At 36.7% G+C, this 15307-nt stretch overlaps 1 protein-coding gene and 1 long non-coding RNA gene across 4 annotated transcripts in view; one reads left to right on the top strand and one right to left on the bottom strand.

Moving 5' to 3' along the window:
- HHIP (hedgehog interacting protein) overlaps positions 1 to 15307 on the top strand; it is a 99116-nt gene that overhangs the window by 59223 nt on the left and 24586 nt on the right. For all 3 annotated transcript variants that reach the window (NM_022475.3, XM_005263178.6, XM_006714288.5), the window contains exons 5-11: positions 1153 to 1304; positions 1709 to 1882; positions 2790 to 2933; positions 6572 to 6693; positions 8847 to 8970; positions 9922 to 10052; positions 13497 to 13578. In NM_022475.3, the coding sequence (NP_071920.1) occupies positions 1153 to 1304; positions 1709 to 1882; positions 2790 to 2933; positions 6572 to 6693; positions 8847 to 8970; positions 9922 to 10052; positions 13497 to 13578 (929 nt within the window). The remainder of the gene's footprint in view (positions 1 to 1152; positions 1305 to 1708; positions 1883 to 2789; positions 2934 to 6571; positions 6694 to 8846; positions 8971 to 9921; positions 10053 to 13496; positions 13579 to 15307) is intronic.
- LOC124900791 (uncharacterized) overlaps positions 1 to 15307 on the bottom strand; it is a 67320-nt gene that overhangs the window by 16238 nt on the left and 35775 nt on the right. The gene's annotated exons all lie outside the window — the stretch shown is intronic.

The following is a 15307-nucleotide window of genomic DNA, read 5'->3' on the forward strand; positions in this document are numbered from 1 at the left end:
TTTTTCTCTGCTAACACTTGAGAAGGAATAACTTCTCATAGCTTTTTGCCATACGCTATGTCGTGATGTTTAATGGAATAAATAAGGTGATGTGCCATCAGCAGTTGCAGCGTTCAATTTCTATGCCATGTTTTTCTCCGAGAAAGTGCTTCCTGGCTTTACTAGTATGTGAACTTTAAGGCTCTGATCTAGATAATTTTAGATACTTTGATTTCATTATAGAAATTCCTAGACTATTTGTGGGATAAAACAAAGGCTAAGACCATATTGAATTTCAACAAGTTGAATTAGCAGAAAATGAAGATAAAATGCCTTTCTATTTAAGAACATGAAGATGTTTTAATTGTTATAGCATTTGGCATGCCTAATGTATACAATCCTTGACATTCATATAATAACACAAGAAAGTTGTTTGGGATTTTGCTTTAATTTCCTAGTGTCCCCTTTCCCCTCTAGCATTTCTCCCACTCCTTCCCCAGCCGTGGCCTTTAGGCATCCTCTGGCTGCTTCATCCTTCTGTAAAGAAAAACCCTATGCAGCGAAGGGATTCATGTAAAACTGCCTCATTTCTAGATAGATAGGCAAGGCTGCCTATTACCTAGCTATGATGAACAGACCACCATCGTTGTGACAACTGATGTAGATGCCTCCAGGGTAAAGCAAAGGTTTACATATTACACAAGCAATTTAACTGTTTTCTAAACATATTGCCAAGACAGTGGGAGTTGGCAGCCCACACTGTGTTTTAGGTTTTGGAGACTTGGATTAGAAGTGACTGTTGATTATGAACCTTTTTATTTGTCTTCTATGAACTACAAGCAACCTAGTAACCCGGGAAAGAATTCTTCACAGCACTTAAACTTGTCCTCCTAGCGGCCCAAGATTACATACACAAATCACTTGACAAAAGTGGTGTAAGACTCTTGTACATAGATAACCACACAAGACAATTGTCTTGTTCTAACCCTTAAAGAGTTCCACAAAGTGAAATGTTTTATAATCCTTTTTTGTGCAGTAGGCAAGGAAGAAAAGAAAGGAGGTTGGGCAAAGATTATCCAAAAGAAAGAAAGAGACTCTTTTGGGGTTCCAGTTGAAACACAATAAAGAACATAATTAACTTTACAATTCTTTGTGTTTTTCATTTGACTGCAGGGAGGAGATGAAAGAGGACTGCTAAGCCTCGCATTCCATCCCAATTACAAGAAAAATGGAAAGTTGTATGTGTCCTATACCACCAACCAAGAACGGTGGGCTATCGGGCCTCATGACCACATTCTTAGGGTTGTGGAATACACAGTATCCAGGTATCACTAAAAGGCATCGAAGCATAGAAATTTCTCATCTTATTTTCTCATCATCTTTTCATAAGTTTTTTTATTTAGAAGTTGCAAATAAGTAACCATAAGGTGGCAATAATTAAATCATTACCTCCATCTTGCTGAAAACTCCATATGTGTCTTTAAGAGAAATGGAGAACAACAATGGTTTTGACATTTTTCCTCAATTATCTCTCAACTTAAAGGCTACCTCTGAAACTTGGAAAATAATGTGATTTTCCAGCAATTTCTGTTAGCTCCATTTCAAATATATGTTTCCTTATTTACTATGTGCCAGGAGTTTGTTTTTTCATTTATATACTATTCACTTTCTGATGGACTCATCTTAAATCTTTTAACAGTCATGGTATTGTTTTCTTCCCACAATGTAGAAAAAATCCACACCAAGTTGATTTGAGAACAGCCAGAGTCTTTCTTGAAGTTGCAGAACTCCACAGAAAGCATCTGGGAGGACAACTGCTCTTTGGCCCTGACGGCTTTTTGTACATCATTCTTGGTGATGGGATGATTACACTGGATGATATGGAAGAAATGGATGGGTTAAGGTAAAAGGCTGATCACAGATGGGTTCCTCTCAAGGTTAAAATAGTTTAAGTGCCAGAAGAAAAGGTGGGCACCAGTGAATTAAGAACCATCTTTGAATGGTCACCTTGGTTAAATACTTAACTTTTGTCATCAGTGTCTGCATTTATGAAATGAAGAGGAATTCACTAATATGCTACGTGATCTTTTGTTTGTCATGAAAAGAGTTACTGTTGTGTAGTTCTCTGTTCCAGGGCTGCCTCTGCTCCACAAAGCACTGAGAAGCAGTGGCCCTGTACAACCATACTGCCTCTCAACACTGTGTAATAGGCTAACACCGCCCAGCGAACCTTCCTGGGAGATATAGAATACATAGGTTTAGGCTGACAAAAATTAAGAGAACAGAGGCAAAAAAAAAAAAGCAGTGTACTACTGATGCCACAGTCCTCAGCCACCATCACACAGTGTCTTGGTTCAGTTGCTTGTCTGGAACGGCCCAGTTTCATTTTCCACAATAAGGAATTTATTTTATTTAATTATTCCTTTATTTATTCAGACAAGGTCTCACTCTATTGCTCAGGCCAGCATGTAGCAGCACCATTATGGCTCACTGTGGCTTCAAACCCCTGGGCTCAAGAGATCCGCCTGGCCGCATGCCACCACATCTGGCTCATTTTAAAATTTTTTGTAGAGATGGAGTCTCGCTATGTTGCCAGGCTGGCCTTGAACTCTTGGCATTAAACAATCCTCTCACCTTGGCTTCCCAAAGTGCTGGGATTACAGACGTGAGCCACTGCATCCAGCCACTTTAATATTTTATTTCAACTAAGGGGATGATTTTTTCATCAATAGAGCAACCTCACCATATTTAATATAGGTGAAATATATAATGAAAATGTAAAACACATACTCTGTCCCCCAATTTCTCAGTGATTTCACAGGCTCAGTGCTACGGCTGGATGTGGACACAGACATGTGCAACGTGCCTTATTCCATACCAAGGAGCAACCCACACTTCAACAGCACCAACCAGCCCCCCGAAGTGTTTGCTCATGGGCTCCACGATCCAGGCAGGTGAGAACACAAGTCTGTCTTCTCACTGGCTTTTAAGCCAGGCGGGGATCCGAGAACTGGGAAAATATAGCATAGAGCATATACCATCACAGAGCAGCCAAAGGTAGTATCTAAGGCCATGCCTCTAAAGTCACAACAGGTCATTACTCAAGTGAGTATTTAGCACACTGTCTTCTATTACTGTGAGAAGCAGATTGAGAAGGCAGATTAGACAACGAAAAGGACAAATTCATGGAGAAAATTTCACCTTAAAATGTGGAGAGGTTATTATCAGATAAACACTATTGGACTAGTATAATGACCAAGACTTTAATCTGAACAGTTTAGAGAGATCAACTTTTTGATTTGTCTCCTTAAATCCCACTAAGTCTTAAGTTCTTTATATATTACATGGCGGTGATAATAACTGCCTTGCTATGATTAAATAAAAATCTGTAAGTAAAGTACCAAATAGTGTGTCTGACTCCTGGTAGGTTTTAAATGAATTGCAATTCTTGTTATCATAGCTTCACTTAAATATGATGCTGCAGTGTTAATTTGCAAGGAGTTGAGCTAAATATTAACTTTTATTTCACTTTGAAAACATTGCAAATACTAAAGGACTCCATATTAACTGTTGGTACTACCATGAACCAAAACAAAGGAAAACTAAAAAGTATGTAGGGTGGGAAATTTGGGGTACATTTTGTAAAAATGCTATGAAGTATAATACAGCAATTTCAGTAACGAAAGCTTCATCCAGTCTATGGTCTATTATTCATACTCAGGGATATCTGGCCACATCCATTTATTCACTAAGTAGGTTATTATTACCATTTAATGTTTATTGAGTGTTCACTATGTGCAAGGTGAATATTTCTCAAACTTTTTATTTTTATAATCCCTCATGCCCTTCATCTCTCCTCCATCAAACCCAAGTCTACAGTTCATTTCCTTTTTGGCATCTCAGCAGATCTTAAAATCTGTGAGACAGGGAATACTTAAGGTGGGTTCAGGATGTGGAGGAAACTGTCACATTCCATTCCTAGAGCTCAGAACTCACAGATACCACCACAAAGCAACACTTTGAAGTCAGGCAGCCTGAGTCACCACAATCCCGCTGGAGCTTTCTCACAACCTTCCTGGGGGTCCTGAACCTCAATGCAAAAACATGGGATGAGGTGCTTTACAGACCAGATGTGTGGCAAGATGCCTGTGCTGCGGAGCCTCCCCACCTCTGGTGGCAGAGGGCTGAAGGAAAAGTTGGTGTTTATATTCCACCTCCCTCCAAAAGTATTCTAAGCAGAAGACGATTTAATAAAGCAGAAAGAAAACTAAATTAATTATTGGCTAAAAATAAAGGGAACTTTTATTAAGCACTTGCTGTGGGGTGCTGAACTAAGTATCTTGTGTACTTTATCTCCTCTCTGCTTCTCAGCAAGGCTCACCATCAGCCCCACTTCTCCCACTCCCCTTTTATTAATAGACTAGTTAAAGGACAGTGATAGATGCACAGCAAAATTGAGAAAAAGGTATAGACATTTTTATATTACCCGTACCTCCACACATGCATAGTCTCTCGCATTATGATCATCCCCCATAGAGAAACATTTGTTATAGTTGATGAACTGACATTGACACGTCATAATCACCCAGAGCCCATGGTTTACATTAGGGTTCACTCTTGGTGTTGTGAATTCTGTAGGTTTAGACAAATGGATAATGACATGTATCCACCATTATAGTATCACCCAGAGAGTTTCACTGGCAGGGCCCTTTTTCACATGAGAAACTGAAGGTTACAAGGGTCAAGCAGTTCTTAGTGGACCTGGTATTCAGCCAGAGCCATAGCTCCAAGCCCCCAGCAACTCTACCTGGCCTGCTTTCCAGATTTGCTGTTTCTTGTTGGAAACAAGTCAAACCTCTTTTTCTCATAGTTTCTCTATCTTCAAAGAAAGGTAATAGAGGAAAATGTTCTCTCCACTATGGATTTAGTTCCACCTTAAGTCACAGCATGACTGTATCATGATCCCTGCCAGGCATTGTCTTCTGTGAATCATTGAACTAGAGAGGACAATAAAGGGACTGTTGCCACAGAACAACTAACCCATCTTTGGCAGGTCACGCTTATGGTTTCCCTATCATGAATGAGATCATTGGGAGCCAAGAGTTTATGTTTTGTTTTTTGTTTGTTCTTTTATAATTTCTACATGACTCTTACGTCTCTTAAGAACCAGCACCAACTCTCAATTTTTTATTTTATTTTTTAAATTTCTTTATTAGCTCCAATGGTTTCATTTTGTTTTTAAGTAATTAATATATTTTGTTGGCCTAGAACAGTGATTCTCAATGGGATAATTTTACCCCCAGGGGACATTTGGCTATGTCTGGGAACATTTTTGGTTTTCACAATTAGAGTGTGATGGGGGTGAGGGAGTGATGCTACTGGCATTTTGCCTGTAGAGGCCAGAGATGCTGCTAAACACCCTACAGTTGGCAGCACAGCCTCCCCAGACAAAAAATTACCTGGCCCAAAATGTCAGCAGTGCCAAGATAGAGAAACCTAAAAACAATGCAAGCCTGTTTTCCACACTTTTGATAACTTCCAAAATTGTATTATATAACTTCATTCTTCCCCCAACCCAAGCTCCTCATACCCAGTCCCTCAGTGATTGAAACATTCCACAAACCTTGAACCCCTCTTATATTCCTGGCTTTGAACCAGATAACAGGAAGATAGTGATGAAGTTGCAAGTCCTCCCCTTATGGAGCTTCCTGTCAGTGGCTTAAGTCACAGAGATACTCTGGCCCCCAGATTAGGGATGGAAAACATGAAAACAGAGTCAACGTAAAAGACCTCGATATTTGTAGGGACCAGCTTTACTATATTCCTGGAATTAAAGCACATGTTTTCCTGTGTTAGAGCAGCCTAAGTTTTAGAATGCAGCAATTTCATGTAAGAAACCCAAAATTAATGTTATAACTAGTACTGTTTTGTGTGGCACAGAGATGAGTTGATGGTAACACTGTTGTTTTTTTTATGTTATTTTACCTTAAGTTCTGGGATACATGTGCTGAACTTGCAGGTTTCTTACATAGGTTTACATGTGCCATGGTAGTTTGCTGCACCTATCAACCCGTCATCTAGGTTTTAAGCCCGTATGCGTTAGGTATTTGTCCTAAGGCTCTTCGTCCCCCTGCACCCCGCCCCCCAACAGGCCCCAGTGTGTGATGTTTCCCTCCCTGTGTCCATGTGTTCTCATTGTTCAACTCCCACTTATGAGTAAGAACAGGCGGTGTTTGGTTTTCTGTTCCTGGATGGTGACACCGATTCTTATTCACAATACTTTACCAGTGTATTATACATGTGATATTCCTTAAGAACAGACTAACAATTGTTTTAAGACAGTGTGCATATTTATAACATAAGAAATTATAAATCATAAGAGAAATTAAGAAATATATTCCAGAGATTAAGCTTCAACCAAGTAAGCAAACACATCGGACTACTTCCTTCAGTGCTTTCTAGAAGATCCAAACTAAATTGCCATAGGATCCTTGCCAGTCCACAAAGGGCTCCTTCCTATGTCAGGAATCTCCAGTCTGAGCTTGGAAAAGATCACGGTAGGAATTAATGTGTATCCCCTCTTGTTATGCAGATGTGCTGTGGATAGACATCCCACTGATATAAACATCAATTTAACGATACTGTGTTCAGACTCCAATGGAAAAAACAGATCATCAGCCAGAATTCTACAGATAATAAAGGGGAAAGATTATGGTATGTAGAGCATAATTTGCTGATTTTGCTTTAGTTCAAGTTTTGTCTTAGTATATTTAGTAATTGAAGAGAAAGGGATTTCTGAAAAATGAGCATTTGGGAAAGCATAAAAACACTGGCCTAACAATCATGCAGGAGTAAATTGCTCACTTTTTAAAGCTCCAGTGACTCTTACAAGCCCTGAGGGTTCCATCTGGTTAATTACCATGGATTGAAAGGTTCTCAGTAGGTCCAAAAAATTTAACCGTCCTTCAAAAGTTAGCAGCTTATATTTTGTTCATCAGAGAATCAAGATGAATAAGTTCTATTCAGTAGGGGAGAGCAGCTTGTCTTAACATCTTATATACAGAGAAAAAACAAGTGTTAAAAGTAAGACATTTCTCAATATCCAACATGCCTGTCTCAGCAGTTAGGAAAATTGTAAGTGATTCAAATAAGAATGTAATTTTTTAAAAAATGTTTATCTTAGAGAAAACAAAGTAATCAACTTGAAAAACAAGTCATGGGAATGGGACATTTAAGCAGTATTTTTAATAACATGATTACTTGAATATTTAGAGAGAACATGTAAAAATATAAAGTTGGATAATAATAAAGTTCAAAACACTTAGTATTTTTTAATATTTTAGTATTTATTCCTTTTGAAGGAAGCAATATATCAACCATTATTATGATTCAGGAAACACAGTAGATTAAGATTATTAAATTGATTGCTTTTTCTATTTACTCATTCAATACAGATATTTATTTAACACCAGGAATGAAGCAGCTGTGTTAGTTCATGTGGTATTCAGTTATTTTACTTTTTTTTCAGGTGTGTGTGTGTGTGTGTGTGTGCACGCGCATCTTTTAAAAGCCAAACCAAAGAGTAATGTGATTTGGAAAAAAAAAAAAAAACTAATGAGTCACTAGCTCGATGGAATTTTGGCTACATTTGTAGATTAAACAAAATTCTACAGTCACATTAATTGAGGTTAAGCTAAAATTGGTTACAATATTAACAGCACTACATTTATTTATTTTAAAACACATCTACAGTGCTTACTACATGCCAGACCCTGTAGTAAGCACTTTATACTCATTTCCTTTACAGAACAACTCTATGTGATAGGCACTATCATTGGCCACATTGTACAAATGAGGAAACTGAGGCACAGAAAGATTAATTGTCACACAACACAAAGTGGCAGAGTCTGGATTTGAATCTGACCAGCCTAACTCCAGAGTTTGTGACCTTAATTATTCAATTATGCTACCTCTCAGTGTGCTCATTATTTAAAATTTCTCTTATCTTTTCTACTTTTTTGTAGTCTCATATACACCATAATCACATGGGAGGGTAAGAGGTCGTTAAAAATTACTATCTTTTCACAAAAGCTTTTGATAAAATCTGTTGATAATGACTTATTTGATCTTAAATACATAAAAGGTAATTTTCAGATTAATTTGCAAGTAGCTTTAGAGCTTTTCCATTACAATTAGCATGCAGATATCCAAGTATGTAATGGCCTGCACAGAAAGATAGAGACACAAGACTATACACATGTAATCAGGAGTTATTGAAATAGACTTTGTTATCCACACAACTCTATAAACAGAACATTAAAATATTTTAAATGAAGATATTACTTGACTAAGTTACAACATTTTCACATATAGAATAAATGCATGTTTAAAGACCTTTTATGTACTATGTTTTTATTTTCATTAAAGTGTAGGCTTTTAAACATTTTACATATTTTGACAGAGCTCTGTCTCAATTTACTCAATATATGCAGAAGCATTTCTACACAAAACTTAGTATGTAAAGCCTTAAATGTTTTTTTTTTAAGTATTTTGGTTCAAAGTAAATAATCATGAGTCCCAAAATATCCAGATTCTAATTTCATTGAAAACTTGGTATGTCTTGCAAATTCAACAACAGCAAGCGTTTGCGGAGCATTCTGATTTCATTAAGCTGTACATGGATGTCCTTTAATGTTGATACTATTTAGCAAAGACTGTTTTCATTAAATAGCTCTAGCAAGAAACCCTTTGGTGTATCATAGAACACATTTCAGAGTTAAATTACTATAGTAATTGTTGTTTGGTGTACATTCCTTTTACTTTATGAAAATATGTTTCATTTGATCTAATGCTATGTTTCTTTCCAGAAAGTGAGCCATCACTTTTAGAATTCAAGCCATTCAGTAATGGTCCTTTGGTTGGTGGATTTGTATACCGGGGCTGCCAGTCAGAAAGATTGTATGGAAGCTACGTGTTTGGAGATCGTAATGGGTAGGTTTCCTGATACCACAACAGTATGATATACCAAATGACATATCCATTAATCATTTGGCAAACTGCCACAAAATATTCAAATGATTGTCTCTTTTTGTGCATCAGATGGGGAATACACATAAATATTATTTACTTTTAGTTCCATAGATATAGTGGTTTAATTGAAGAACTTCCAAAAAGATGCTCTCTCAACAGGCTTGATAAATTTCATAAAATAATTTTTAAGGGCACAGAAGTCTTCAGATGGACTTTTCATATTATTTAGGCTCTTCCCTTCATCCTCAACATAAATTTACCATGACAATAAATAATTTGAAAACTATTGTTTTACTTGCTGTATAAATATTTTAAAAATTATATTGCAAGGCTCAAGATTTTTGGTTTTGCCAAATTTTCAGGACTTTAAGCGAGATAATATAATTTGTCTCTATAAGTAGGAATAATACAAAATTAAATTTTAGTCTCAATTTTCAAGGTCACATTGTGGATAATTGTAAGAAACTCTGTGACGAAATCCAAATTAAGAATCTTGTTTTCCAAGTCACTGGCATTCAGGCATATGGCAGAGCTGATACTCTTGGTCGCTACAAGGAACTAGAAAAATGTACTGACCCCATGCTCTTCCCCTGTTCCTCTCTCTGATTAATAGCACAGCATGGATTCTAGTCCTGGCGAGGAAGTATCATTCTCTGGATGAAGGGGAGGGCTTTTCTCATACTCAGGTACTTTTAGTGCCCCCTCCAAACAAAATACTATCTTTAAGTACTTTCTCCGCATATGGGAATTTCACAGTACTCACACACGTTATGGGCTATGTTATTTTTCCCTTTAGAAGCCAGGTCTATGGCAAAGCAATTGTTTGTTATGAATTTTATTTTAAACATCTTATTGTCATCAATAAACAAAAGTGTGTATTCATTGTAGCTTTATGGTATGTTTCTGTTGTAGGAATTTCCTAACTCTCCAGCAAAGTCCTGTGACAAAGCAGTGGCAAGAAAAACCACTCTGTCTCGGCACTAGTGGGTCCTGTAGAGGCTACTTTTCCGGTCACATCTTGGGATTTGGAGAAGATGAACTAGGTACTGTACAATCTAGTTCTGTTAAGTTTCATTCTCACTTCCTTTTTCAAGAGGCTTTGTTCTGCCCTGAAGAATAAATACAGCAATCTTATCCTCTACTTGTTGGAAATGTAATCCACAGCAAAGATGACCTACTCCAGAGATTAAGATAGTCCAGTTACATATTCTCTACCAGTAACTTTTCCCTGAGAGCCTTTATATTTTATTTTCACACTAGAAATACCAAAATATAAGGCAGAAAAATGGGAGGCAGGAAAAGAATTTTTTAGTCCTGAAGAGATAATTTTTTAAATGTTTAATGATATTTTTGATTATACATCTGAGTAGTTTGTGTATATTCTCTATCTAAAAACCTTTCCATGTATCCATGTCTCTTGGAATAAATAAAAAAGTTTTGTTGGAATCTGAAACTTGCCTTACCCGCTATTTCTTTTTTCTTTTTTCTTTTTGCCCATTGGGGCACGAAATTTGAGCAAGATGATCTGAGTGCAGATCTTCTTTCCAATAGAATAGAAATTATGTTCTCATGGGACAATCTATGGTATAACATATAATATACTTCTTGGCATGTTTACCAAAATGTATGCAGCTTAAAAAGCAAAAAAGAAGTTGAAATTGAAATATGATCAGTGAGTAAAAATTTTATTCTCTACTAATTTAAATTACAGAGATCAATGTAGTTTCATAGTGACTCCCTTTAAAAAATAATATTCAAACAAACCTTAACTATTATGCTCCTTTAGCCTCAGAGATAAATTTCTAGGCATAAAGAAGAATGTATGTTTCCCATGTTAATCAGAATATTTTCTCTAAAACTTCAGATTTGGTTTTTTTTACATCAAATGGAGACTTCATCAGAAATAGTTTCATGCCCTTTACTTAGAATAATAAGGGACTCAGACAAGACTGTTGAAACACATAAGATAAGTTTCAGAGCCACAGGAATATAACAATTCAAAGAAGAGAATCCAGTCTATTCTTTGCTTGTTCCAGCACTGAAAGCAATTTAAAATTTTTCCTTAACATTCCCCTACCGCACTCAAAGGAACCAGAAAGATACTTCCCCTAACTTACATCCTCTGTAATATAATTTTAATTTCACTGGCAAACAATGATTTCAAATTTAAAAGAATGAGGATGGGCATGGTGGCTCACGCCTGTAATCCCAGCAATTTGGGAGGCCAAGGCAGGTGGATCGTCTGACATTGGGAATTCAAGACCAGCCTGGCCAACATGGTGAAGCTCTGTCTCTACAAAAACTACAAAAAATTAGCCGGGTATACTGGCAGGCCCCTGTAATCACAGTTACTTGGGAGGCTGAGGCAGGAGAATCACTTGAACCCTGGAGGCGGAGGTTGCAGTGAGCCAAGATCGCACCATTGCACTCCAGCCTGGGCAACATGAGCAAAACTCCGTCTCAAAAGAAAAAAAAAAAAAAAAAAAAAAAAAAAAAAAAAAGTAAAAGAATGGTTTGTGTCTGAGTTAGAGATGAATGTTTAAATGTTGTGACTGAATAATTCTGATTTTCCCAGACCTTGCTACAAATGATTCATCATCACTCATTATGTTAACGTCACCACCATTAGGTAAAATATCCCAAATGTCTGTGTACACCTAATACTATTTAGAAGCAGAACTAAAAAATAAAGATATATAATCCTGACTCTCCAAAAGCTACAACCCTGTATATACCTCATAATTAAAATAAATACAGTTTCACTGGATTACATTTTAATGTGAAACTCGCTAGCTTTAATTGAAGAACCATATAAGAAAATGAGTAAGTTTTTGCACCTTTTGAAATAAAAGTATTGAGAGTCTGGGACTTTGCATATTATTTTTTTAACTATAAAGTCAGGATGGATTTGTTGTGAGGATTAAATGAAGTAAACTATAAAATACTTGACAAAATAATATTAATTCTTTTGCTTACATTGCTTTGTACTTTCATTTTTATTTTTTCTGTTGTGCCTACGTTTTTAGTACAAACTGTGTAAATCCTTTTCAGAAGTAGAAAAGTAGCAGGGTGTGTTTAATGCACAATAATAAGAGAAATATAGACTAAAGGATTTTTCATGGGGGAGGACCAAATATAAATTTTAAAACTTTATAAATGTGTAATTATAAATATGGCTTCAAATTTTCTATTCACATGATCAATTCAACACATAGAATTATATGGAAGTAGTGGTGATAAACGGGGTGGTTTTCTCCTAAAAGAGTACCCCATCTGTTGTATTTCATCATTATGAACACAGCTAGCATCAAGAGTTAGAGTTTAGAGAGTTGAGACTGAGCATCAAGGTCTCTCTCTCTCTCTTTCTCTCTCTCTCTCTCTCAATCCTTCTCTCCCCTCTCCCCCAGTGTTTATTTTAACATATTTTGATGTACTTTCATGTCTTCTAAAAAGCTAAAGAAGGCACAACCCAATTTCATGTGGCCTCAAATTAGCAATTAACGGTAACAACTTGATAACTGACATGTATCAATCTTGCACAGAAATAAATCAAGATAAAATTTGTCCATTCAATATCCATTCTACAAATATTTATTGAGCACCTTCTCTGTGCAAAGCTCTGTTCTGGATGCTGGGGATGCAGCAGTGGATAAAGAGACAAAAGTCTAAACTAGTGTCATGAAATTTATATTGTACAGGAGGAGGAAAATCAAAATAAATTTTTAAAAAATACGGTACATAAATTGGTAATAAATGCTTTGAAGAAAAATCTAGTAGTGAAGAGGAATTTGTTGGGAGTTGGGGAAGGTGCGATTTTAAAGTGCAGTCAGGAAAGGTGATATTTAAGTACAGCCTTGAAGAAGGGGGGAAAAAATGAACCTAGTGGAGACTCACAGGAAGATGGAGCCTGTAATAGGGGCCTGGAACAGCAAGAACTTGAGACAGAAGCCTGAGCTGGGAACTTGCCTCTCCTGTGTGAAATCACAAGCCGGTGAGGCTAGAGAAGAGTGAACAAGAGGGCAAAATGTTGCAGATGAGGTTATAGCAGTAAGTGCTACTGTCAGGACTTGCTTTTGCTCTGGATGAGATAAGAAGCTATTGCAGGGCATTGAAACAAAGGAGTGTGATCCAACGTACATGATCTAACTCCTTTGAAAAGAATCACTGTGGCTGGTACGTTGAGAATACACACAGAAGAACAAGAGTGGCAACAGGGAGCTCAGTTAGACAGCTGTTGCCATAATCTAGATGAGAAATAATATCTGCTTGCACTGGAGTAGTAGTGGGATATGGAAAGGAGTGACTGGAATCTGGAATTCTGGATGCACTGTAAAGGCAGACATGTGAGACTCTTGCATAATCTTTAGGCAAGTGATTTTCTTGTGGATAGATGGAGATAGATTGACATATAGAATAACTGCCAGGCAATAGGAAGTAAGGACCTCTACTGCTATAAATTTGCTTATTGTTATTTCTTTCTTTAACAGGTGAAGTTTACATTTTATCAAGCAGTAAAAGTATGACCCAGACTCACAATGGAAAACTCTACAAAATTGTAGATCCCAAAAGGTGAGATTTCCTTTTATCCCATTAAGTCAAGTAATTTTCTTCTTCCAATTATTTTAGTTCATTCAATTAATGATAGGAATGTCACAATTAGCAATCAGCCAAGATGTACACTTTTACCATTTCCATATGCTTAGAGCTGTCCTGAAAGGATTTTCTTCGCCTGTCTATGATGACTGATGCCACTATGCAGAACTTTAAAAGCTCATTCATGTCGTCCTTGCTGTCATCACAGAGCACCATTATATTCATGGAATCAGAGTCCTCAGTTAAAAGCCAGAAAGGGGCCCTGACGTGTGAGGCAGTGGCTTAGGCTCTGGTGTTGGAAGCCATAAACCCTCCTTATTGTTAAGAAAACGAGAAACATACTGGCAGACATGACAGCTGCTTAGTATGATTTTTGTTAAGTAAACAGGTAAGTTACTTTGGCAGTTCAACATCTGAGCCTCATTTGGAAACTATCTGAAAGCTTGCAGTGCTCATGAAGACTGTGGTGACTAGACAAATAAAAACTTAAGTAGGGTTTTGTTATTTGCTTCAGCAAAAGAAAGATTTGAATGTTTTATTCCTTTAAAGAATATGTTTATCTCACCCCTGGTCCTTCCCACTCACCCATCACAACATTTATACATATGTACTTCAATCATCTTGAATCATCAATAGTCAGTTGTTAATTTCATGGATCAAACCTGAGCTATCAGAAGCTGATAAAATTATATGTTGTCAAAAATACATTAGTCATAAATTTAGAAACAGCTAATCATAACAAAACCTAAGGATTCTCACAGACACGACTGTTGTTGAGCACTAGGACTTGTTACTCTTTAGCCACACCATGCTGCAAATTTCGGATTCCTTCTATACTATTTTCATGACTCCATTTTCAAATTACAATTCAAGTCTTTTTCAAAAGAATTAACTCTAATAATCTGAAAAGTTTACTAAGGGCACTTTAAAATATTCTTTCTCAATTGCAAATTGTATATGTTTTTCTGAGATTTTGTCCTTTTTCTATGCAACAAAACGCTTTTCTGAGGGAAATGTAGGTCGACATTGGCTCTTGCAGAACAAAAAAAGAATCAGTTCAAACAATCTCTGGGCAGTATCACATATCACATATCACAGGTTGATAACATCCCTTCTCTATTTAACTGTATACATTTTCTTTCACAGTAAGATAAATACCCATCTATATACTATAGTGATTTTTTTTCCACAAGTGTGAAATTAATGACCTCCATAAGAAAAGCAAAGATAAATGAAAATAAAATCAGACACTTAGGGGATTATTGAAGTTGGCAACCTTAAGAATAAAAATCAAACTAATGTTAATTCACAAAATAGCAGCATTCTAAAGACTCATAATGAGGTGTACGGATTTCACTCAGATATAATACAATTAGTTTCAAAACAGACATTGTTATTCTGTTATACTGTCTCAGTCTATGTGTTTTTGCAAAGTACCTGGTAGCATTGTAATGGATTCTCTCTCCTTCTCACAAAAATCTTTCTCTCTTCATCTGGATTGTTTAGTCTGTGGCTGAGTTTAGGTGCATTTTACACCTTCAATCTATTATTAGTGTCTAATTACCAAGGTTGCCATAAGGGACCTTGGCTTTGTGATCTTAGTTCTCCTCTAGTAGGGTGGTCTCAGAGTGACATACCTGAAGGCCTGACTTCTCATTATGGTGCCTGTTTCTGGTGAGTCATGTCATGTGGGGGGCCCGGGTTA

The sequence above is a fragment of the Homo sapiens genome, chromosome 4, assembly GCF_000001405.40.
Source record: "Homo sapiens chromosome 4, GRCh38.p14 Primary Assembly".
In the NCBI taxonomy this organism is placed as follows: Eukaryota; Metazoa; Chordata; class Mammalia; order Primates; family Hominidae; genus Homo; species Homo sapiens.